Source organism: Homo sapiens, chromosome 12 (genome assembly GCF_000001405.40).
Source record: "Homo sapiens chromosome 12, GRCh38.p14 Primary Assembly".
In the NCBI taxonomy this organism is placed as follows: domain Eukaryota; kingdom Metazoa; phylum Chordata; class Mammalia; order Primates; family Hominidae; genus Homo; species Homo sapiens.
This window is the reverse complement of record NC_000012.12, coordinates 98,750,833-98,776,117: the sequence shown is the minus strand read 5'-3', so window position 1 is coordinate 98,776,117 and position 25,285 is coordinate 98,750,833. Positions and strand designations below refer to the sequence as shown.

At 44.9% G+C, this 25,285-nt stretch overlaps 1 protein-coding gene across 73 annotated transcripts in view; it reads left to right on the top strand.

Annotated features, from left to right (window-relative positions):
- ANKS1B (ankyrin repeat and sterile alpha motif domain containing 1B) overlaps positions 1 to 25,285 on the top strand; it is a 1,250,151-nt gene that overhangs the window by 1,208,819 nt on the left and 16,047 nt on the right. For all 73 annotated transcript variants that reach the window (XM_006719514.5, XM_006719507.5, NM_020140.4 and 70 more), the window contains 2 exons: positions 2,939 to 3,076; positions 24,596 to 24,763. In XM_006719514.5, coding sequence (XP_006719577.1) covers positions 2,939 to 3,076; positions 24,596 to 24,763 — 306 coding nt within the window. The remainder of the gene's footprint in view (positions 1 to 2,938; positions 3,077 to 24,595; positions 24,764 to 25,285) is intronic.

Sequence of the window (25,285 nt, the reverse complement as noted above, 5' to 3'; positions counted from 1 at the left end):
CAATGCAGAGTGATGGCAGTATTTCAGTAGTGACATCCCAGGACCTTACCCCATTCTAGCATTGGCAATATATCACAAAGGTCTGTTCAAAAATACCTGCCTCCGCAGGCTATCAATACAAATTCAAGAGCATCTTTTAAGCGCCAGTTAGGATGACCACAATGATGAGTTATTCCTACCTGAATATAGAATATTTTAACTAGCATGAGCTTTCCTTATAGCTTAGACAATGGGAACAGAGTAGTAGAAGTTTCCACAGTCGGGGAGAAGGCTGATTTTGGAACATGGAGTATCACAGAGGTCAGGCCTCCCTGGGCAGCTAAAAGACAGTCCTGGGCTCCTGGGGAATAGAGAACAGGAGGGCTGGGCCAGGCACAGTGGCTCACACCTGTAATCCCAGCACTCTGGGAGGCTGAAGCAAGTGGATTGCTTGAGCCCAAGAGTTGGAGACCAACCTGGGAAACATGGCAAAGCCCCTTCTCTACCAAAAAAAAAAAATACAGAAAATAAGCCAGGCTGGTGGTGCATGCCTGTAGTCCCAGCTACTCAGGAGGCTGAGGTGGGAGGATTGCTTGAGCCTGAGAAGTTGCAGTGAGCTGAGATGGTGCCACTGCACTCCAGCCTGGGCAACAGAGCAAGACCCTATCTCAAAAAAAAGAGAGAGAGAGAGAAAGAGAAGAAGAGGGCTCCAGAAAATTCAGGGGTCAGCAAAGACACAGGAGGAGAGAGTACCAAAGATATACTTTTCCTCCTTTGCAACTTTCCCCCAGGCCACAGTGCTGCCGTGCACCATTGGAAATTGTCAAGAGTGGCATCCCATGAGTTGGCAAGATTCAGAGAGTTCAGTGCAATAAAAATCACAGAGCACTTTTCATTTCCCAAGAAGTGCATCTACCTTGAGATCTTGCAAAAGATCTCAAGAACACAAAATGCCAACTTAGTAAAAGTTGAAGCACCTATTTCCTGTGACAGTGCCTCCTGGACAAGTGAGACCAAATCCACCCAGGCTTCCCAGGGCATTGGCTGCCCCCAATCAAGATAATGGCAGAGGTTCCCACACCATCTCACATTGCACCTTTTTCTCATTTTAACATTATTTTAAGACTCACCCATCCCTAATTTGGTTTTCTACTTGAAGGAATGCTATCTGGATGCCAGAAGAGGATCATCACCTTCTAGTCTGAAACTTATCTTGCAATAGAATGTTACTTGTTTATGGGATTCCAATTGCAATTTGAGTTATTTTTTGACAGAGCACTGCATTAATGTCAACACAAAAGGCCACGGTGAAAAATGTCTTAATTTAATTTTCTTTTGTGAGTTAATTCTGTAATTGCCTCCGAACCACTCAGCTTGGTAAAGTGAGGGACATGAAGTACTTGCTGGGGGTGCTGGCAGGGAAGGACATTTTGTAAGCATTTTTAGGCATTGATGGCTGTACACGGAACACTGTATTGCCAACAGGTTATTTAAGACAGCGCAATTAAAAAGTAATTAGAGTAACTAAAGCATCGAGGGTTTTAGATCTGTGACAACTGCAAAAAAACATAAATGGGATATTATAAGATAAGAAAATGATTGCAAGATTATGTGAATTTTTTTCTTTTTTTCTTTTTAAACACATCTATGTATCAAAAGAAGTTTCTAGCAGGGTTTGCAGCCAAGCTGCTTCGTGGTTATTTTGTGCTTCAGGACAATGGTACTTAAACCTTTCTCCCACCAGGGAAGAAGGCACAAAGAGATGCTAGAGAAGAAATAACTCAATTCTTGTTAAGCCAGTAAGAGGGAGGTGGAGACGTTGAAGGGCATTGCAATGCATTTCAAAGAGCCTGAGCTCCACAGTCAGACAACCCCAAATTTCAGTTCCACCCCAGCACCTGCTCTGCATAAGGCACTTAAATTCTTTGAGTACCAGTTGCTTCACCTGTAAATAATGGTAGCAACAGCACCACCTCCTAATTATACACAGTGGATGTAGTTAGGAAAGTGTTGTTAATATAGCCACAGGGCCCAGATCAAGCAAGGCATCCAAGGCCTGAATCTTGCAGTATGGTGTTTCTCTTATCAGGCCCCTGCACCTTAGTTTCCACGGAGAAAGCACCTTGAGGCTTCCACCTGCCTGCTTCCTTCAGTACCTGCCCTTGCTCTGAGGGAGGAGGAGCAGGACACAAGAACAACGTGCAAGCATGATGGCGAGGGATTTGAAGAGCCTCATTGGGTCAGATCTCTTCTCATACAGAGAAAGCGACAGATGCTCCCCTCCATACAGAATTAGCAGAAAGCAGTGCTGCACAGCTACAGGTGGACATGGGGAATGGAAACAGTCAAATGCTTAGTAATTACTATTATTTTTTAAAGTGGAGGCCGGACGCGGTGACTCACGCCTGTAATCCCAGCACTTTGGGAGGCCGAGGTGGGCAGATCACCTGAGGTCAGGAGTTCAAGACCAGCCTGGCCAACATGGTGTAAACCCCGTCTCTACTAAAAATACAAAAATTAGCCAGGCCTGGTGGCATGCACCTGTAGTCCCAGCTATTCGGGAGGCTGAGGCAGGAGAATTGCTTGAACCTGGGAGCGGGAGGCTGCAGTGAGCCGAGATTGCACCACTGCACTTCAGCCTGAGCAACAGAGTGAGACTCTTGTCTCAAACAAACAAAAAAAAAGTGGCCGCCACCCAGACTGCTTCTATGCACAGCAACTGGTGAGAACTGCAGCTCCAGGATATGACTGTGTTAGGTTGTTTTTAATTAAATGAAAATATTTCTTCCATATCTGGTATTCATTTACCCACAAATAATATAGTGGACCACTTTGAGTGTTGCTAGTCTAGAACACTCCAGAAAGAAGGAAAGCAACTGCTTCCTGGGTTACTTGTCTTGGTTGTCATATATGCTGGTTCGCAGAGGAAAACAATGATCATTTATGTCATTTCTTCCAGAACATAATTGCTGAGCATGAAATTCGTAATATCTCCTGTGCTGCCCAGGACCCAGAAGACCTCTCAACATTTGCCTATATCACAAAAGATTTGAAGTCTAATCACCACTACTGTCATGTGTTTACTGCCTTTGATGTGGTGAGTACCCACCCCCTTTCAACAGATTAAAGACTTTGCAGAATGGGCCTGGACTGTATTGAAAGCCCAACTTATAATTAACACACTAGCTTGGCTTGTTTACCCGGTATTAAGATACATACCAAGTGTATTTGTTTGCTAGGGCTGCCATAACAAAGTACCACAGACCGAGAGGCTTAAATGGCAGAAATTCATTTTCTCACAGCTTCTGGGGGCCAGAAGTGTAAGACCAATGTGTCGGCAGGTTTGGTTTCTTCTGAGGCCTCTCTCCCTGCCTTGTAGATGGCGGCTGATATGGTTTGGCTGTGTCCCTACCCAAATCTCACCTTGAATTGTAGCTCCCATAATTCCCATGTGTCATGGGAGGAACCCAGTGGGAGGTAATTGAATCGTGGGGGTGGGTCTTTCCTGTGCTATTCTCATGATAGTGAGTAAGTGTCGCAAGATCTGATGGTTTTATAAATGGGAGTTCCCCTGCACAAGCTCTCTCTTGCCTGCCGCCATGTAAGACATGGCTTTGCTCTTCATTCACCTTTTGCTATGATTGTGAGGCCTCCCCAGCCATGTGGAACTGTGAGCCAATTAAACCCCTTTCCTTTATAAATTACCTAGTCTTGGGTACGTCTTTATTAGCAGCGTGAGAACTGACTAATACAGCTGCGTACTTGCTGTGTCCTCACATCGCCTTTCCTCTGTGCTTAGATGTCTGGGTCCAAATTTCCTCTTCTTGTAAGGACACCAGTCAGATTGCATCAGGGCCCACCCCAATGACCTCATTTTAACTGAATCACCACTTTCAGGGCACTATCTTCAAATACAGCCACATTTTAAGGTACTGCATGTTAAGCCTTCAACATATGAATTTTGGGTGGGTCACAGTTCCACTCATAACACCAAGTACATTTTGGCAGACTAGGCTGTTTGGAGATTTTTCGATATTTTCATTCTTCCATTCAACTTAGAATGCCAGCCCTACCTAGTATCTCAACTGCCATTACTCATTTACTAATTTCACTTTCAGACTTGAGAAATCCCTTTGTTTCTCTGGCACCAAAACATAGTAAAGGTCTTACAGCCTCCTTGTCCCTCACTATGTCTGTCAGTTTCTCTAGTAGCCATTTCTAAGTACTAGGGCATAATAGGTGTGTTTGCCTCATACAAATCTGCAGTCTTCTATATTGAATAGGAGTCAGATCAGATACCTACAGGTGGTAATTGGGAACTCCAAGATTTGGCCCATATGCTCATTCAGAAATTAGTCTTGGCTGGGCTCAGTGGCTCACACCTGAAATCCCAGCACTTTTGGAGGCCGAGGTGGGCAGATCACTTGAGCTCAGGAGTTGAAGATGAGCCTGAGAAACATGATGAAACCCCATCTCTACAAAAACAAACAAACAAAAATTAGCTGGGTGTGATAGCACATGCCTGTAGTCCCAGCTACCTGAGAGGGTGAGGTGGGAGGATTACCTGAGCCTGGGAGGTCGAGGCTGCAGTAAGCTGTGATCACACCACTGCCATCTAGCCCAGGTGACAGAGTGAGACCCTGTCTCAATTTTTAAAAAAAGTTACTCTTGGCCAGGCACAGCTCATACCTATAATCCCAGTACTTTGGGATGCCAAGTTGAGAGGACCACTTGAGTTCAGGAGTTCAAGACCAGCCTGTGCAACATAGTGAGACTTTGTCCCTATTAAAAAAAAAAAAAAAAATTAGCCAGACATGGTGGTGTACACCTGTAGTCCCAGTTGCTCAGGAGGCTGATGAGAGAATCCCTTGAGCCCAGGACACTGAGGCTTCACTGAGCTATGATCGTGCCACTGCATTCCAGCCTGGACTACAGAGTGAAACCGTCACTCAAAAAAAAAGTTGGTCTTGTAATGACATCCTTATGGGATTACACCACTTCCATTTATAGCCATACTTGTCATTAAACCTAAAAGACTAGCTCATATATTACAAACTTGGAAAATGGAAACAATTAAAGGAAATAACAAATGTTTCTTTAAGATTGATATGCCCTCAAGGTGGTACAAATTGCTTGAGGATATCTCTGATATAGTATATTAATAATTTATAATCAGAAGAATTTGAAAATGCCACTTAAGTTTGATGATTCTGCTCTGCTCACTGGGTTTGAAATATACATATTTAAAGAATCAGGAATCACGTATTCATATATTCGTGAGAGGCCAGCCCCCAGTTCAATGTCATGGGTAGAAGACTGCCTGAAGCAATGTTTTCCAGTTCTGATGAACACCTATAGGCCAAGGCCAACTGTAATCCAAAATCTATACCAGCTTAAGGTCCGTGAGTCAGGCAGTTCATGCTCAGAGCATTTGTATCATGCTACATGTTCCTCACCCCTTTTGGTTTTTAAAGAAAGATTGAAAATGGGAAAGAATGATCATGGGCCTTTAAAAAAAAAAACAAACCCTTCCATTTGGGGAGGCTTGAGGAGAGTGATATAAAAGTAGTCTGTGGTAACAGTAAAGACTGCAAAGCAAAGCCCTGCGAGACTGCTCTAAATATCTCAGGAAGCGTTTGTTTGCACGGGATTAAAGTGTTGATTAAAGCCATTTCATTCAGGGTTTACAAGGATGTGCAGTGTTAGGTTTCTGGTGCCTTAAACATAACTTGCAATTCTTGTAAAATTTGATTGTTTCTTTATACAGTCAAATTTCATCCTGTTCACATCTATTTTGGTTTATGTGAAATACCTTTCTCTATAGGGGTTGGATTGATGTCATAGAAAGAACGGAATACCAAAGTTCACATCCCAAATCAGCTATCTCTCTACTCTCTGGTCTTAGAGAAGTTGCTGGACTTTTCCCAGTCCTAATTTTCATAGCTAGAGAACAGAGACAAGAGTTTCTACCTTGCAGGTTTTCACCAGGAGTGAAATGAAAGAACATATGTAGAGTGCTTCATAAATAACAGGTGTTCAGCATTTGTTCCTTCACCTCCTCCCTCTCCCTGCCTGCTGACGTCAGTTAACAGCCTGACCCTTTTTCTGCTAAAAGACATAAGATAGGTTTGTCAGATGTGTATTTATCTTCCAAAGTTTTCCTACTGCCATTACGAAAGGATTGAAAAAGTGAAAGCAATAAATAAACATTAAAATAGAAATAGCAGAAAGAAAACATTGACTCCACAGAGCTTGCTGCCTCTAGACCGTGTTTGCATTGAACATCAACATGAATATTCTGATACTTTTCAGGATGAACGCCACCTTTTTCCTAAGTATTGCAGCATTTCTTTCAATAAAATTGGTTTTTAAGGTAATATATAATTTGCCTTCATCAGAGTATCTAAAGTATTTTTCCACATGAAACTAAAACTGGTTTCTGTGGACTATCTGCCCCCTTGAGTTTATTAGCTATACGTGTGTGTGATATATATATATCACCAGAATACTGAGGTGAAATGTTGGGGGAAGAAATAGTCAACTGTTTAGTTTTATGATGAACGTTATATCCCTGATACACTTAGAAAAACATGTAGAGAATTGCCTTAACATTTATCTTTTCATCCAGATGTTTGATTTAATGTAAACATTACTAGCTTAGGATTCTCATACCAGCTCCAAAGGACTTTCATCTTACACAGATCCTCCATTTTAATCTTCTCCAGGTGAACAGTTTGTCAAACCTCAAAATTAGTAACAAAGGCCACCACCCTTGACCTGGGACTTTGAGCAATTCTGAGATGCAACAAGCTTCACTTGCACTAAAAAAAGCTTCTTTGAGCATGGATTTTGTATCCTTATGTAGGGCAGTTCAATACCAGTCCAGTCTTGAAGGCTTAAAATTCTTTTGATATGAATCAGTCCCCTGGGCTGCCCCAAATGGCAAAAAAAAAAAAAAAAAAAAAAAAAAAAAGTAAAGAAGACCCTATAATACCTCAAATACACATTTAACCTTTTAGCTAAATAAGTATGTATACATTTTTAATTGTGAAGTTACTGCTTTTTGGACCTTAAAGACCTTTTATGGGTCACATGTTTTTATGTACTGTTATCACATATCCCATGTTTTTATCTGATATCATCAAGAAAATTCAGTGATGTCTAGGAAGTTTCCAGTTTATGGACAGTTAGATTTGAAGTTCAGAGCATTTTCTCATAGAAATTGTAGTCCGAGAAAGGAGGCCTGGAGCCCCCCCTACAGAAGCTAGGATGTGAGCTTAACATAGTTTACGTACTATGGGACTCTGCAGGGCCCTGAATGTGCTCAGATGTGAGGCGGGGGTGGAGTGTGCGGGGCTTCTTAAGCTTATTTGGCCATGGTAGCCATTTTTTTTTTTTTTTTTTTGAGATGGAGTCTCGCTCTGTCGCCCAAGCTGGAGTGCAGTGGCACGATCTCTGCTCACTGCAAGCTCCGCCTCCCGGGTTCACGCCATTCTCCTGCCTCAGCCTCCTGAGCAGCTGGGACTACAGGCACCCGCCAGCACGCCCGGCTAATTTTTTGTATTTTTAGTAGAGACCGGGTTTCACCATGTTAGCCAAGATGGTCCCGATCTCCCGACCTTGTGATCCGCCCGCCTCGGCCTCCCAAAGTGCTGGGATTACAGGCATGAGCCACCGTGCCCGGCCTTTTTTTTTTTTTTTTTTTTTTTTTTAGAGAGCACCCCACAGGGGTGGCCTTCTGCAGAACACATTTTGGAAAATGTTACATTTGATGATCTCTAAGCCTGCTTTTGTTGCTTGGAATCTACCATAAATTCAGCTTGTGATATTTTCAGTTTTAAATGATGGGGAGATGAAAATAAAAAGACTAGAGCAAAACAGAATTAGGGTTGTCAAGAAAAAAGCCAATATATACACACAAGCAAGCACCAAGCCTGCTCTGTATTCTGGAGTCTATGCTCTCGTTGTTGTCATAGCTGATTTCTAATCATATCCCTAACTTGCTAGGCCTGAAACACATCTCACCCACTGTAGAACAAAAGCTTCCCCAAACTCCACCTTCTGGGCAGTGAGAACTTGGGGAAGAGGGAACTGTAGGGTGAGCAGAAAAGAAGGATGTGTTATGAGACTAGGAGTTGTGAGAGTTAAAAATGGACTCAGCTTTTCTCTCCTCTGCTCTTAAATGAGTGGAGAGAATTCTACACAAATGGGACTGCCAGAGAGGGAATGGGTATTTCAGTGGCCACCAGATCCCGAGGCTGAAGTGATCGTCCTCAAAAGGCCACTATAGGTGAGAGAGAGAGACAACCAAGGTAATTTCAAAACTGTTGTCTTCTGTATTTTATTTGCTTAGTTACTCTAGATTTCTCAGTAATAGAGAGTTGATGTAAGTCAACATAGAAAGATTTTGATGCATTCTCCATGGGAGTATCAGATTTGTATCAAATATCTGAGAAGAGCCTCATTCAATAGTTTTAAATGTTAAAAGGTGTTCTTCCTTTTTAATAGCATTAAAAGCCATGGCTTTGCTGCCAGACCCTTGCTAATTCTCACTCCTCTGAAAAGAATATGTTTGCAGTCTTTGATATTTTTAACCATGCTCATTTTTCACTTGCAACTCCCAAATCCTGTGCTCCTCGGTGTGCAGCACATGGCGAGGCTGAGACGGTCTCAGGAGTGCGTAGAGAATGTTGAAGACGTGGTGCAGGGTGGGTGGGACGTGTGGGAGACGGAGCTCCCTCTTCCCTGTGCTTTCTTGGCTGAATGTGGGCCATGTGAGGATCTAAGCTGGAGAAACAGAAGTGACAAAACGCAGGAAAACATGGTCATCCGACTGTGTGATCACCTTCTGTAGTACTCTCCCATCCATATGCACAAAGCCAGCCAAAGTGTGGGGCAAGAAAAACACTAGCATCAACCACGTGGTCGTGATCAGTGATACCTACACCACTTCCAACTTTGGCTCTGCTATGAGTTTGCTTGTTGGTTTTCTCATCAGTTTAATAAAATTTAAATTCCTGGCTGGGCACAGTAGCTCATGCCTGTAATCCCCAGCACTTTGGGAGGCTGAGGCAGGAGGATCACTTGACTCCAGGAGTTCAAGACCAGCCTGGGCAACATAGGGCAACCCCATGTCTGCAAAAAAAAAAAAAAAAATTAATAAATAATAGCCAGGCATGGTGGCACACACATGTAGTGCCAGCTACTCGGGAGGCTGAGGTGGGAGGATCTCTTGGGCCTAGGAGACACTGAGCTGTGATTGCACCACTGCACTCCAGCCTAGGCAACAGAACAAGACTCTGTCTCAAAAAAAAAGGAAAGAAAAATTTAAATTCTTGAGTGCTTTTTTAAATGCCGAGATTACTTCCATGGAGTAGTTTGAGGTCCCTGAAGAAAAATATTTATGGCTTATGTTGCAGAGATTGTCCCACAAAGTGAGAACTTAAAGATGCAAAAGAACTCTTGCTATTATTGATGTTAGTTCACCTCTGACAATTGAATTAATATCATGGAGGCGGGTGATCTCTCTCATTCTGTTTCTCATTTTCTCCACCTGAAAATAGACTTCAACCTATTTGACTGTGATACTGTGAAAAGAAATGGCAATATAAGAAAATGTCACAATGCATAGAGCCCTTAAAAATTGAACTCGAACACTTTCCCTGGTTACTCTTCTGCATACAAAGTGGCAACCTACAGGTAAAAGAGAAGCCGTTCCCTGGCCCTGTCCAGCCAGCTGAAACTCACCAGCAAGTCAGCTGCAGGAAGGACGCAGCTCCTAAGAGGAGCAAATGGCCCTGATGGAATAAAAAAGACAGCATCGCATTCCAATGGTCCTTCTACACTAACACCACCACCTCCCAAAAAAGAATAGATAAATTAACAGTGCTGGGTTTCATTTATCCAGATCTCCTCTCCATTGGCATAAATCACTGAGAACTAACCAGGCCACAAAGACAAAGGTGGTTGGATATTCAGAGATCTTCTCATCCCTATTTTGGGGGTGGGGAGACAAAGTTTTCAGTGCCTTAAATTAATCCCATTTTTTGTGAAGTTAGAAACCAGACATTCTGAAATTGTTTTCACAGATTGCTTTGCAGCATTTATGCATGTATTTGTTGCACCCCCCACTTCTAAATAACTGGCAGTCAAGTGTCATGATCAGGGGGTGGCCTTTAGAATCAGTCTGGTTTTGAATCCCAGATCTGCACTCTTAGCTTCATAGTTTGGGCGAGAATGCCATGGGCCAGGCACGATGGCTCATGCCTGTAATCCCAGCATTTGGGAAACCAAGGCAGGCGGATCACCTAAGGTCAAGAGTCCCAGACTAGCCTGGCCAACATGGTAAAACCCTGTCTCTACTAAAGATACAAAAATTAGCCTGGCATGGTGGTGCACACCTGTAATCCCAGCTACTTGGGAGGCTGAGGCAGGAGAACTGCTTGAACCTAAGGCTGAGACAGGAGAATCACTCGAACCTGGGAGGCGGAGGTTACAGTGAGTACAGTGAGCAGAGATCGCACCACTGCACTCTAGCCTGGGTGACAGGATGAGACTCTGTCTCAGAAAAATAAAGGCCAGGTGCAGTGGCTTACACCTGTAATCTCAGCACTTTGGGATGCTGAGGCAGGTGGATCTCCTGAGCTCAGGAGTTCAAGACTGGCCAGACCAGCATGGTGAAACCCCATCTCTACTAAAAATACAAAAATTAGCCAGGCGTGGTGGTACACACCTGTAATCCCAGCTACTTGGGAGGCTGAGGCATGAGAATCACTTGAACCAGGAGGCAGAGGTTGCAGTGAGCCAAGATGGTGCCACTGCACTCCAGCCTGGGTGACTGAGCAAGACTCTGACTCAAAAAATAAAAAAGAATGCCTCTAGTCTTCAGTTTCCTAATCTGTAAAATAGAGATTATAATAGGACACCTCCTATGGTGATTGCAAGGATTAAACAAGGTGACACATACGCATTTCCAGCACATGGTATTCAATAACTCTTAGCTGCCGAGGACACAGAGAATAGCAGAAGCAGTTAATAGTGATGCTTATATTCTTGTCAGACCCTGTGTGAGGCTTTATGTCCCGGTTTTTGATTCACGACATATGTTTGTTGCTGCGTGCTTCCACATCTGAGGAAAAAAGTCAGATTCCACATAAAATGCATTCCTGTATTGATAGAGTGCCTGCCATGCATTAGACACACATCCCTGCTCTCCAGGAGCTCATGGTCCAGCAGGAGATGAAGGGACACAAGCAAATAGTTACAACAGAATCAGATCCATGCCACCCGGGCACTGCACCAGCAGCCAGCAGGGTGGGCTCTCCAAGAGGAGGGACGCGCAGGTTGGAAGCTGAACACTTAGTCTGTGTGAGTGAACACGTGGTCGGTTTGGAGGCACGGCAACTCATTAATTCAATTTAGAATAGTGAACTCAGGGTATCAGGTAGGCATCTGCAATAAGTAAAGGAAAAGCCATTTATATTTGCTGTGCTGACTAAACCAAGGAAACAGGCATATCCATTTGAGAAAGATTTAAACAACAAGGGTTCAAATTTAAAAGGTTTGAATCTGGTGAGTGACCCATGTCCAATGCCTCACAAGTTAGTGAAGAAGCCAGGCGCGGTGGCTCACGCCTGTAATCCCAGCACTTTAGGAGGCTGAGGCGGGCGGATCACTTGAGGTTGGGAGTTTGTGACCAGCCTGGCCAACATGGTGAAACCCTATCTCTACTAAAAATGCAAAAAATTAGCCAGGCACGGTGGCAGGCACCTGTAATCCCAGCTACTCAGGAGACTGAGGCTGGAGAATTGCTTGAACCCAGGAGGCGAAGGTTGCAGTGAGCTGAGATCGTGCCACTGCACTCCAGCCTGGGTAACACAGTGAGACCCTGTCTTGAAAAAAACAAAAAGTTAGTGAAGAGTTCCCTACAGCTTCCACTGGAGCTTTTTCTTTTGAGGAGCAGGGGAGAGGTTGAAATCTGGCATTTCTTCCTCCTGTACCACCTTTGCACAAACCCTGGCCAAGTTACAGGATAAAGATTGCATGTTTCTTCCTCCCAGGCAGGCCAGTCCCTCTGGATGGGTGTGACAGGGCTGCTGGCCAGCCACCTTAGGCTGTGGTTCCATGAAGACAGGTGACCAGTGTGTTGGGCTGCAGTGCATGACATCCACAGGGAACCTGGAATGCTATTAATATAAGAAAGCAAGTTGTGGTTTAACAAAGTAAGGCCCAACCTCCTATACTTGGGGTGAGGCATAAAGTTAAACCTCAGCAGATACAGTGGAACGCTCACCCCCTTTAAAAATCTGGTTTTTGAAGAACGTGTAATGGCATGCGAAGACCAACTATGAGATAATGTTGCGCAAAAAAGGAACTTATGAGACTGCACATAAAATATGTTATGATTTTAGACTCATAAAGTATTCTAGTTTTTAAATTCATATTTAAATATTCATATAGGAAATGAAAGTATTTGGGTGTATATACAAATATAAAAAGAAAATGCACCAAGATGTTAGCAGTAGCCATATCCCAACAGTGGAATTTCACAGCTGAATTTTATTTTTTCCTTTATTCTTAGTATTTTCAAAATTTTCTACATCTGCCCCTGTTATAATTAGGGAGATAAAGGAATCTCGTGGCTCTTTTAGTTAGCCAAAATTAGCCCTAAAGAAGCTACCTGCATTTTGGCCAGTTGATTTGTCATCTTGCCCCAGATAGACATCTTAGCAGAATTGCTAATATTTGTTTCTAAATGCTGAAGGCTATGATTGGGCACTATTTATTTCTGTACAATCTATGAAGACTAATTTCTGGCTGGTACTTGAGAGAACTAACTATAGGTAGAGCTAAAGAGATGTCAATGAAGTCTGTGAATATGCCCAGAATATTCTCGAAGTTATTTTTGCCTCCGGACGTGGGTGAAGCAAGTTGTAGACCAGGCTTACCCCAGGTCTTAAAAAAACAAGTACAAGCAAAATATAGCCTAAAAAGAAATGTCGCTTCTTTCTGGAGACCCCACTGAGAACCCAGATTGAAAAAAACCTTCTTGTGTCTTCAGGCCCCCTGTGGCATTATCTGCACTTGTCTAGCTTTTGTTCTTCAGGTCTGCCTGTGGGAGAGAAGACAGAAGGAAGGAATTGGCTCTGGCCATCCATATTCCCCCTTTTCTTAACCTTAAGGTGCAAGTTCCCTTATCTTAGGGACCTACCAGGCAACTTCCTTTTTGTGTTTAGCCAACAAACATTTCTTGAGCACCTGACCTATTCTAAGCCCTAGAGATGCAAAGCCCAGTGAGACCAGAGCCCTCAAGGAGCTCAGTCAACTGGGGGAATCAGCCCTATAAGGAGAAAATCATAATAAATACCACGTGGTAAGTAGGGCTGTGCCCAAGGTATTGTGGCACCGCAGAGGAGGGGCACCTAACTTAGCCAGGGTTGGGAGGACAGGAAAGGAGATTCAAAGAAGGCTTCTGGAGATATGATGCCCGAGGTGAGTCTTCAAGGATAAGCAGTAACTCACCAGGCAAAGGTGGGAGATGGCAAACGCATGTATTGCCAAGAACAAATCCATTTTGTAATAGATGAAATGCTTGGCCATTTGGAATAGCATTTAGGGGTGATTGCTGGAATGAAGGTGTTTTCTGAGATGAAGGGCAGCCCGTTGGTGGTGACTGCCTCTCTGAGCTCTAGCTGGTGGGTTATGGAGCCCTGCAGTCTGGCCTCTGGGTAACATGCCACTGTTTAGCACAGCATCAACTGTGCGTGCATCTCTAAACTGAATCTGTAGTTGACTGGGTAAAAGATAGCCCCTTCTAATCAGAGAATCCTGAAACTCCCAGGGTGGAAAGGGACCAATAGGTCACCTGGACCACACCCACTTCTCAGTGGCAATAGGTGCTGTAGGTAGGTAGCCCATGGTGGAGCTGGCCTATGCAGGTGATCCAGGGACTCTGTTTATGGCCTCTATTCACTGATAGACACTTTTCAATCAGACATCTCAAGGTACTTTATGACACCCAAGCTTTTCTGCCCTGGACTCCCACATACAGACACAGCCCTTCCCTTGAACGTGTCTGCATCTGTGCCCTCTTCATGGTGTGGGTGAGCTTCTGCTGACCCCTGTCTGGGCCTGCAGCTCTCTGATGCTATGGAATGAATACATTTGTTCATTCCATTCCAGTCATGAAAATGTGGCCATTGTGTTTCTAATGGTAATGCAAAGCACTGCAAGGCAGGTCAAAATGGTCCACTCAGAAAGAGCAGCCTCCCAGCCTGGGTCAGGAGGGCCTTTCCTCCCTGGATGGCCTCCTCCTCAGATTCCTTACTCCTTCGTCATATTCGCCAGATGAGATGAAGCTTTATGCCTGACATACCTTGTCAGCCATTTGGGCAGCAATGCATTCAACAAAGTAAGTCCTGGAATAAATATCTAAGTGAACAAATGGACAGTGTTTCTACCATGCCTCATTCCATAACGGATTGAAGACAGCCTACATGAATAGGTATAGTAGTCTGAAAATATATATATACATACACACAAATCTGAATTAGGGAAAATATAGGCTAAAAGGAAGCTCCATATCAAGGGAAAAGTTGTAGCATCAATATACAGACCATGGAGTTGTGGAAAGGTATGGGAGCTGGGCTCTCTCTAGCTCTGAGCTTTTAGCTCTGAGCTTCCTGGAGGTCAAGGCAAAAAGGGAAATGCAGTAATTTTATGCTGCATATTTCTTTGAAAGAAAAGTATACCCCTTCCCTTCCGAAAATAGTATTTTAATAAGACTTAAGTATGAAGGAACTTTCTGTCCTAGGCCCCCATGAGGGGATACTGTGTAATAATGTCTTCACCAACATTTGTACAGTGAATCTCCAAAACACAAGATGGTGTTCTAGAGGGTGCCTCAATGAAATAGGCACAGAAGACCAGCACATTCATGAGAGCAATGAAGGTAGGATAGCCCAGTGGCATGAAACACTGGCTAATCTGAAGTCAGATCTGCACTTGAATCCTGGCTCTGCTGTATGAACTTGGCCAAGTTGTCAATTTCGCTGATCCTTAGTTTCTCACACGTAAAATGAGGATGGTCATTCCTCCTCTGTAAGGTGTTGTAAGGGGTAGACAATCCACAGAAGGCACTTAGCCTCGTCCCTAGGATGTAGTAGGCAATATCATGTGTAGTTGCTGCTGCCACTGCTTTATCATCATTATGAAAGGAAATAAAATACAGTTCAAGTTCATAGGCAGTTTGACTTCGTGCAGAGATCAAACTTTGCACAGCTACAAGAGCGGATTGACTGCATGTCTATAAGTTAATATCCACGTAACAACATTTTTCACTTGGGCTTGGCAGAAGTTGGACCATTAAAGGGTCAATTCCGCACTTGGAGTAGAAGTATTAGGGTTGCAGCTTAAAGGAAGAGCTTGATACTTCAAAGTCTCACTGAGAAGATGTTAGAATTGGCATCCAGTATGAAAACTGAAGAGCCTAAACAAGATTCTTTGCCAAATGAATGGGCAGCTTCCTGGCACATAGAGGTGAGCCATGACAGCACCTGCAGAGAGGTTCCAGATTTTGCTGGAAAGTAGTTCCCAGCCCTCTCAGCCAGAGAATGAAGAGACCCTCAGAACCCCAAGGTGATGCAGAAAGAATAAGATCCATCCTGGGCAACATGTTGAAACCCTGTCTCTAAAAAACATACAAAAATCAGCCAGGTGTGATGACACATTACCTGTGGTCCCAGCTACTCCAGAGGCTGAGGTGAGAGGATCATGTGAGCCTGGGAGGTCAAGCTTTCTGTGAGCCATGACTGTGCCACTGCACTCCAGCCTGGACAACAGAGCAAGACCCTGTCTCAAAAAAAAAAAGCAAGAATAAGACTATTTTAAACGCAAAAGACTTTCTCTTGTTTTTAATTATCAAAATGGAAAGATTATTTTATGACTGTAAACATCATTAATCCTCATTTAAATAAAGTTCCAAAATACAAAAATAGAAATCATCCAGTCTCAATACGCAGTGATAACTACTATTCACATTTGATCCATATTGCTATTTTCTATGCATATATACAGATCCTATCTATGTGTATATGTATACATATATTTTTACGTAGTCTTTTAACCCATTATTGATTTATTTATTTTATTTATTTATTTTTAGACGGAGTCTCACTCTGTCACCCAGGCTGGAATGCAGTGGTGCGACCTCGGCTCATTGCAATCTTCACCTCCTGGGCTCAAGCGAGTCTCCTGCCTCAGCCCCCCGAGTAGCTGGGATTACAGATGTGCACCACCACGCCCAGCTAATTTTTTGTATTTTAGTAGAGACAGCGTTTCACCATGTTGCCCGGGGTGGTCTTGAACTCCTGAGCTCAGGCAATCCACCCGCCTCCAGTTTTCATGTTAAATGGCTACCTAGTATTCTACTTAATCAGTCCTCTAATAATGAAAAATTTAAACACTTTAATGAATATTTTTGCACATGTATCAGTGAACCCTTGTGCCTAAGAGATTTTCAAACTAAGAAACAAAAATCTTAGTGATGTACCAGTTAAAATAAATTAATTACCTTGGTGGCTAGAGCTTTTTCTAGGGGACAGATTGCCCACCATCTATGATGCAATTTTTCTCATACTAGACCGATGAATATGCTGCGTATAGCCTCGGGGACAAGGATGCGGGAGGACAGCGAGGAAGATCTCTTTGTCTCTCCATGAGCCTCCTCTGGATGTAATGAGAGTCTTGATGGACACTTTTACTCCCCCATGTCATTCAGTGATCACTTCCTGGACATTGTCTATAGGCTAGGCATGGGACTGGCACCAGGGACACAGCCCTTAACACTTGGAAGGAGCTTGGTAAATATCTGTGGTGATGTTCAATATCCATGATTGCCTTGAAGAAACCACAGTAAATATAAGCTGACCTGCATATCTTCAGCTTGCACAAGAAAAGTGAGTTTGCATCCCTTGATTGCCTTAGGATTTATCTTTATGATACAGTGGTTCCTTAAGCTCCTCTAATGTAGCAGTTCTTAATTCGCAGATCAAAATCCCAGGCCGGGCACAGTGGTTCATGCCTATAATTCTAGCACTTTGGGAGGCCCAGGCAGGAGGATCACTTGAGGCCAGGAGCTCGAGACCAGCCTGGCCAACACAGTGAAACCCCATCTCTGCCATAAAAAAAAAAAAAAAAATTAGCCAGGCGTGCACGCCTATAATCCCAGCCACTCAGGAGGCTGAGGCAGGAGAATCACTTGAACCCGGGAGGTGGAGATGGCAGTAAGCTGAGATCACACCACTGCACTCCAGCCTAGGTAAGAGAGTGAGACCCTATCTCAAAAAAAAAAAAAAAAAAGGAAGGAAAAGAAAAGAAAAGAAAAAAGAAAAATCCCTGGGGAAGAAGAGAAGAGAAGGGAAGGGAAGAGGGGAATTCCTGTGCTTTCCAGGAGGTTTTTCCCCATTGGACTGGGACTCCCTACCCTTCTTCCTAAATAGCCACTACTGAGGATGGGAGTTGCCTCGTATCTTTTACCTCACCCTTGGGGAAGCCAAAGATGAAGAATTCCTGTGTTGATGGTCTCTGTGGAGTCACGAAGTACACCCCCGGCCTGGAGGCTGCCTCTCAGCCAGACTGGGCATGAGACCCAGGCAATGGGCCAGTAGGTGACCTCACCACAGCCAAGATGGGTCAGTCACTTGGAAGCTCAATTGGCTCACATGTTTTTTAAACTTTTTAAAACAGATTACAGAATTTTTTTTATTTTATCTTATGTATAGTTTTAAGGTGTAATGGTCAAGAAGAGTATAGCCTCTCAGAAAGAACAACTGGATTCAAATCCCAGTTTGTCTGGGTGCTGACTTCATGAGCAAGTTATTTAACCTTTCTGAGCGTAATTATCTCATGTGCAAAATGGAAGTAATAGACCTACGGCATACAGATACGGTTAGGATTGAATTAAAGAGCCCATGTTGAAGCACTTAGCATGGTGCATGGCCACATAGTAAATAATAAATGCTAGCCGGTATTGCCATTTGGTTAAATAATATTATTAGCCATTATCAGAACAATCCAGTTAGGGGGTACTGCGTATGGTATTATCCCCATTTTAAGATGAGAAAACCAAGGCTCAGAGTATGCTGTTTTCAGTAATCAACCCTCACACCTGCACCCCGTGTGCACACACACACACACACACACGTGCACACATGCACACACATGCAGCTCTCTTTCACTGGTGGTCTCTGTAAGGTAGACAATACTCCAGACCAATCGCCGTAATAAATGTGTCTCAAAAGACTTATGCTAGAAAGACCAAAGCAAGTATCTTCCAATGAGCTTATATGAGACAGGAAGAGCCAAGGTCGGAGACAGGCCAGGTTACAGCATTCGAGAGACGTGAGGTAATAAAAGTAAAACTAAATGAGTTTGAATTTATGCCCAAGGGAGGTAGTAACTGGAGATGAGAGCATGATTTTGCTGACTTCACTGCAGCACAGTGGTTTGAGCCAGCAGATGGGATGGGACACCTTAGTGCTCACTGTGATCAGTGAGCTTCCCCACAGCCAGGGCAGCCAGGGGACCGGGTGGCTCCAGGATTGGCCTCCTGGCTAAGCAGCATTCATCACAGCTCCTGGGCTCATGGGTCATCTTCCTGTTGTCTGAATGAGGGTCCAACCAGCCTTCTGCAGCATCGCATGGTGTTCCAGTTATCTCTTGCTGCGTAATAAACCACCCCAAAATATAAAACAACATCCATTTATTATGTTCACAATTCTGTAAGTCAGGGATCTGGGCTGGGCGTGGCAGTCCTGCTCAACAACATCTGGGGCCTCAGCCAGAGTGCCTGCAATGGCTGGAGATGCTGGGGCAGCCCGACTGGAGCCATCTGTCTGGGTCTTGAGTCTTCTCCAAGCGATGTCTGCTGGAGCTCCAATGTCTTTGAGACCCCTTCACTCCCAAATCTTGAGCCTGGGCTGGCCTGGCTGAAACCGTTGTTCCTGTCCAGGCAGCCTCTCCTTGTGGCTAGCTCAGGCATTCTCATAGCATGATGATCTCAGGATAGCAAGAACTTTTTTTTTTTTCCTTTTTTTTTTAAGATTGAGTCTCAGCTGGGTGCGGTGGCTCATGCCTGTAATCCCAGCACTTTGGGAGGCCGAGGCGGATGGATCACCTGAGGACAGGAGTTCAAGACCAGCCTGGCCAACATGGTGAAATCTTGTCTTTACTAAAAATACAAAAAAGTAGCCAGGCGTGGTGGTGGGCGCCTGTAATCCCAGCCACTCGGGAGGCTGAGGCAGGAGAATCCCTTGAAGCCAGGAGGCACAGGTTGCAGTGAGCCAAGATCGCGCCATTGTACTCCAGCCTGGGCAACAAGGGCAAGACTCCATCTCAAAAAAAAAAAAAAAAAGATAGATGGAGTCTCGCTCTGTCACCCAGGCTGGAGTGCAGTCACACAACCTCGGTTCACTGCAACCTCTGCCTCCCAGGTTCAAGCAATTCTCCTGCCTCAGCCTCCCAAGTAGCTGGGATTACAGGTGCCTGCCACAAAGCCTGGCTAATTTTTTTTTTTTTTTTTTTTGTATTTTTAGTAGGGATGGGGTTTCACTAATGGCCAGACTGGTCTTGAACTCCTGACCTCAAGTGATCCACCCACCTCAGCCTCTATATTAGTCTGTTCTAATACTGCTAATAAAGACATACCCGAGACTGGGTAATTTATAAAGGAAAGAGGTTTAATGGACTCACAGTTCCACATGGCTGGGGAGGCCTATGGCAGAAGACAAAGAAGAAGCAAAGGCACATCTTATGTGGCAGTAGGCAAGAGAGCATGTACAGGGGAACTCCCATTTATAAAACTATCAGATCTTGTGAGACTTATTCACTATCACAAGAACAGCATGGGAAAGACCCACCCCCATGATTCAATTACCTCCCACCAGGTCCCTCTCACAACACGTGGGAATTATGGGAGCTAGAATTCAAGATGAGATTTGGGTGGGGACACAGCTAAACAATATCAGCCTCCCAAAGTGCTGGAATTACAGGCGTGAGTCACCGCATCCAGCCAGGATGGTGAGACTTTTTACATGACTAATTCCCCCAGAGTAATGTTCCTAGAGGCCCAGGAGGAAACTGCAAGACTCCTCATGATTCAACCTCACAAATTCAGCATGTTGCTTCTGCTATATCCTATGGGTCAAGCAAGTCAGTAAAACCAGTCCAGATTCAAAGAGCAGATTCGACTTCTCAACAGGGGAACACCATGGTGTGCACGGGAGGGGAGAGTTGATGGCAGTCATCTTAGAGACAAGCTGGGTAGACACATGGGTTGGGCCAAGAGTGGGGGATTTTGAGCACAGATATTGGGTCATGTCAAGTTCTGTAACTTTCTGTCTCTGTGATGTCTGGAAAGTTATTTCACCCCTCTGAGCCTCCACTGCCTCATCTATAAAATGAGGATAATATGCTACTGCATGTGATTTGGTAAGACTTAAATGAAACAAAGATAATGCTTGGCACATCTCTCACACCTATTAAGTTCTCCCTTAATGGTAGCTAGACTGAGTATTAACTAGAAATGTTACGATTACTCCAGTTAGTCCTGTGGATATTCATTCATTCATTCAGCAAGCAAGCAAGCATTTCTTCTGCACCTGGAATGTGCCAGACCCAGTACCAGGCGTTGGCCTCCCCACAGTTGCAGGGATAATATGTTGAAGGCAGAGACAGTTGGGCTTTCAGATTTTCTGGGTGTCACCATGGGCTCTTCAGAGCCAGCCAGCATCATTGAGGTTTGCAAGATGGGCTTCTCACCTAAGCCTTCTGATGTTACAATATAATTTTCAACCTCATCCCGGTAGAGTCTCCTCGTACATGATAGCAACTCTCCTCCCGTTTCAGATGGTAGGGATGTTAATAGGAGAGGCAGGAGAATTGAACCTACAAAAAAATGGGGGTTCTTTCCCCATTCACACATGTGTCCTGAGGTCCCATGGGATGAGCATCTGTTTCCCCGAAAGGGCCCTGGTGTGTCGGGATGGGCAACACAGCACTTGGAAGGTGTGTCTCGGTGCCCATGGGCCCTCCTGGCATCCAGCATCAGTACCACAAACAGGAGGGCTGCAGACAAGAGAGGAAAGGTAACAGTGTCCAATCCTGTACTATACATAATCACAAAAGAAACTTGACAAAGCATTCTAAAATAAAACCAAAGCAAGAAGTCAAGGAAAATGTAAGCGGAACCAGAAGAAGCCATTAGGCAGGAAAACTTAATCCAACAGTCTGGTCTGTGTGTCTTATTTGAGCAGTTTCCTAATACCAGGAACTAATTAAAAATGAAAGGGCAGGACTTCTAACACATTCTCTCCCAAAACCTTTAGGCTTCCCATAATCATGTGAAAAACCTCACTTGCTCAAATGAAGGTCTTTTTACTTTCCTTTGAAGATCCTGGAGCTTTAAGTAGATCTCGCTTTCAGTAACTTGTTTTTAGGTTAATGGTAAAGGAATTCACACTCATTAAGTTCCACTGTTACAGCAGATAAAGACCACATGTTACAGAATCACTGAATCTCACACCTTCATCTTAGTCTAGTTTCCCACCCAGAACAGGAATATCTGGTACATGTCCCCAACAGATGGGAATCAGCCATCTTCCACAGTAGCATGAACAAGACCAAGAGCCTGTGTCTTCATTGTGAGACTACAGAAGTCGGAAGCCCTGCCTGCCTTTCAGAGGGGACCCACGCAAACACTAAGAGGCAAAGCTGACAGTGACGTGAGTGCCAAGTGTAGGCAGTGGAAAGAGCTCAGCCCTCTTTGTGCAGTGATGGTCAGAGCTGTCTCCCAGACCTCCTCCACTATCATTTGCTGGTGCGTTACTAATTTACTAGGCTGACTCATCTCTGGAGGCAAACATGGGCTCAGTGTTCGTTGCAAGGAAGTGCTCAGCTTGCTGTGCAAGGTGCAGTATCTCCAGCAGGCAGATGTCTGTCTTGTAGGGTCAGTATTTCCTAGCAACTCACTTAAAGGAGACAGACACATCCTCTCTCAAACCGACTCTCAAGCTCAGAGGCATTTTCCCCACTTGGTTCTGAGACCATCACAATTGATCTGGCATGGATCTGGAATCTGGTTGGTCTAGAACCCTTGGGCCTCTTTCCCATGGCCTCAGAAGGCACCATCCTGCATCTTCCTCTCCATCATCTTCAAATGCGAACAATCGCAAACACATCTCCCCAGCAGCAGTGTGGGAATCGGGCTCCCAGAGCGCTTGATGAGGGTGGAGATGGGCAGGAACAGAGAGGGCCAGCTTAGTTGCAATATCAGCATCAGCAGAATGACATTTCTGTGATTTTTGAGAAACCGTGAGTGGACATTCTAGGGACATTCATCAGAATGAAAACTTGGATGGTCAGGCACGGTGGCTTACACCTATAATCCCAGCACTTTGGAGGCCGAGGTGGGTGGATCCCCTGATGTGGGGAGTTCAAGCTCAGCCTGACCAACATGGAGAAACCCCATCTCTACTAAAAATACAAAATTAGCTGGGCATGGTGGTGCATGCCTGTAATCTCAGCTACTTGGGAGGCTGAGGCAGGAGAATTACTTGAACCCAAGAGGTGGAGGTGGCAGTGAGCCGAGATTGTGCCATTGCACTCCAGCCTGGGCAAAAAGAGCAAAACTCTGTCTCAAAAAAAAAAGAAAAAAGAAAGCTTGGGGCAGACCATGCCTGCTCTCAGCTGCTACAGTGACCTTCAGAACACTCTCTGTGACCAGTATGCATCTGCTTCTCTGATGCTCTGTGACCTCAGGGTGTGGTGGCCACCCTGCCTCTTTTGGGTCAGACAATGTGATGGTTTCTCAGTGAGAGAAGACAAGGGGAAGCTGTGCTTGGAAGAAAAGGCAGAAATCAAAGATACACATTTGGAGAAGAGAAGAAAGCTAGAAATCATCTTGAGAAAAGGACTGATTGAAGGTCGGAAGAAAAGAACTTTTCTCCCAGGCGCTGCTTGGCGTGGCATCTAGCCTGACAGAATCACCTGTCTCTTGCTGATTTCATGATAAAATATAGAGTGGACCCACAGGGAGAGCAAAAGCCTCAAGAAATAGCTGGGGAATTGGCTCTGTTGGAGCACTGTTTGCGTGCTCACTGCTGCGACTGTGAGCCGCCACACCAGCATGACTAATGCCTCTCCTCTAGGCCTAAATTAGATTTTGATTGTGTTTCGTAGATGTTCACTGAATCACAGATGTTTGAGGTAAAAAGACCCAAACTTCTCAGGAACACCTCCTGTGGAGTGTGTGGGATCATCCTCACAGGCAAGGTTGAAGTGCTCCCAGGACTCAGCAGAAATACCAGTAGTAACCCCTTACCTTCCAAGGCCTTGGGGACAAACCAACTGCCCACAGGGAGAGCTTTGAATGGTGTGGGCTCCTGGGGCCACTGGGCTGTGGGGCCTGCTCCTCCTGGGGCTAACTGGGGATCTGTAAGCAAGAGTGCCCTATCAGTGTGTAAACCAAAAATATCTGAGACAAGTCTCAGTCAATTTATTTTGCCAAGCTTAAAGATGCACCCGTGGACCAGGCGTGGTGGCTCACTCCTGCAATCCCAGCACTTTGGGAGGCTGAGGCGGGTGGATCATGAGGTCAGGAATATGAGACCAGCCTGGCCAACATAGTGAAACCCCGTCTCTACTAAAAATACAAAAATCAGCTGGGCGTGGTGGCACGTGCCTGTAGTCCCAGCTACTCGGGAGGCTGAGGCAAGAGAATCGCTTGAACCCGGGAGGTGGAGGTTGCAGTGAGCCAAGATTGTGCCACTGCACTCCAGCCTGGGTGACAAGAGTGAGACTCCATCTAAAAAAAAAAAAGAAAAAAAATGCACCCGTGACACAGCCTTGGGAGGTCCTGAGACCATGTGCCCAAGGTGGTCAGGGCACAGCTTGGCTTTATACATTTTAGGGAGGCATGAGACATCAATCAGTATGTGTAAGAAGTACGTTGGTTTGGTCTGGAAAGGCAGGACAACTAGAAATGGGAAGGGGGCTTCCAGGCCATAGGTAGATAAGAGACAAACAGTTGAATTATTTTGAGTTTCTGAAGATCAGCCTTTCACTGAATACACAATTTACAGGAATAGTCACTTATGCCTTAGTCTGGCTTAGGGAAACAACAGGACAGGGGAAGCAATCTGATATGCATTTATCTCACATGAGCAGAGGCATGACTTTGAGCTCTGTCTTTTGTCCACAGGAAATTTCCTTTTGGGCAAATTGTGAGGGAGGTATGTAGCTTTTTTATCTTTGTAGCTATCTTATTTAGGAATAGAATGCAAGGCAGGTTTGCCCAACACAGTTCCCAGCTGACTTTTTCGTTTGTCTTAGTGATTTGAGGTCCCAAGATTTTTCTTTTCACAAATGACTAAAGCCTGGTGTAAACCCTAAGTTGGACCCGGAGTGTCCTGTTCTTTGTAGATTTCCACCGAATCGCTGCTGCCTCTGGTGAAGTAGTTCAAGTTCCTCCCTAGTTCACCTCCCTCAGTGTTCCTCAGCCATTCGACCCATTCTAATTTGCAGTGTGCCAGTAGCAAATGCTTTCTCATTTTTCTTGCAGAATTTAGCCTATGAAATCATCCTAACCCTGGGACAGGCATTCGAAGTCGCTTACCAGCTAGCACTACAAGCAAGAAAAGGGGGACACTCCTCCACACTTCCAGAAAGCTTTGAAAACAAACCCTCCAAACCCATCCCCAAGCCCCGCGTTAGCATTCGCAAGTCCGTGGTAAGTAGAAACGATACAGATGTTCTAAAAAACCTTGAACAGGAGGAAAAGGGGCTGCTAACCAGGCCCTTGTGTGGTGTGGGTGCCATTAGAACCCAGGGCCTCTTCTTCATCCTTTCCCTTGGCCTCCTCCTGGCATGTGTCCATCATCACCTCTGCCTGGTTCCCACCAAGTCTTGGGCACCATCTCCCTCAACCTGGAGCCTCCAGAGAAATCCACTTTCTCAGTCACCTGCAGCAACCCTATGAAGGGTCTCAGCAGCAGGTACTGCTGTTCTTGGTGAATCTTACCTAAAGATTCAGGAAAGCTTGGGAGCAGTGTTCCCTGGGGCTTCAGCTGCCATCCCATCAGAGGGCAAAGCCTCCTACAAGCCCCTGGCCTCCAGAGAGGTTTGCAGAGGTACACAGTGATGATGTCCTCGGTCCCCAGCTAGAGGAAGCTGGATGCACAGGCTGCCCTGCTATATGCAAGGCCTGCGCCATGGCCTGCGTGCTTTGTCTCCCGCAGCTGAGGCTTCCTGC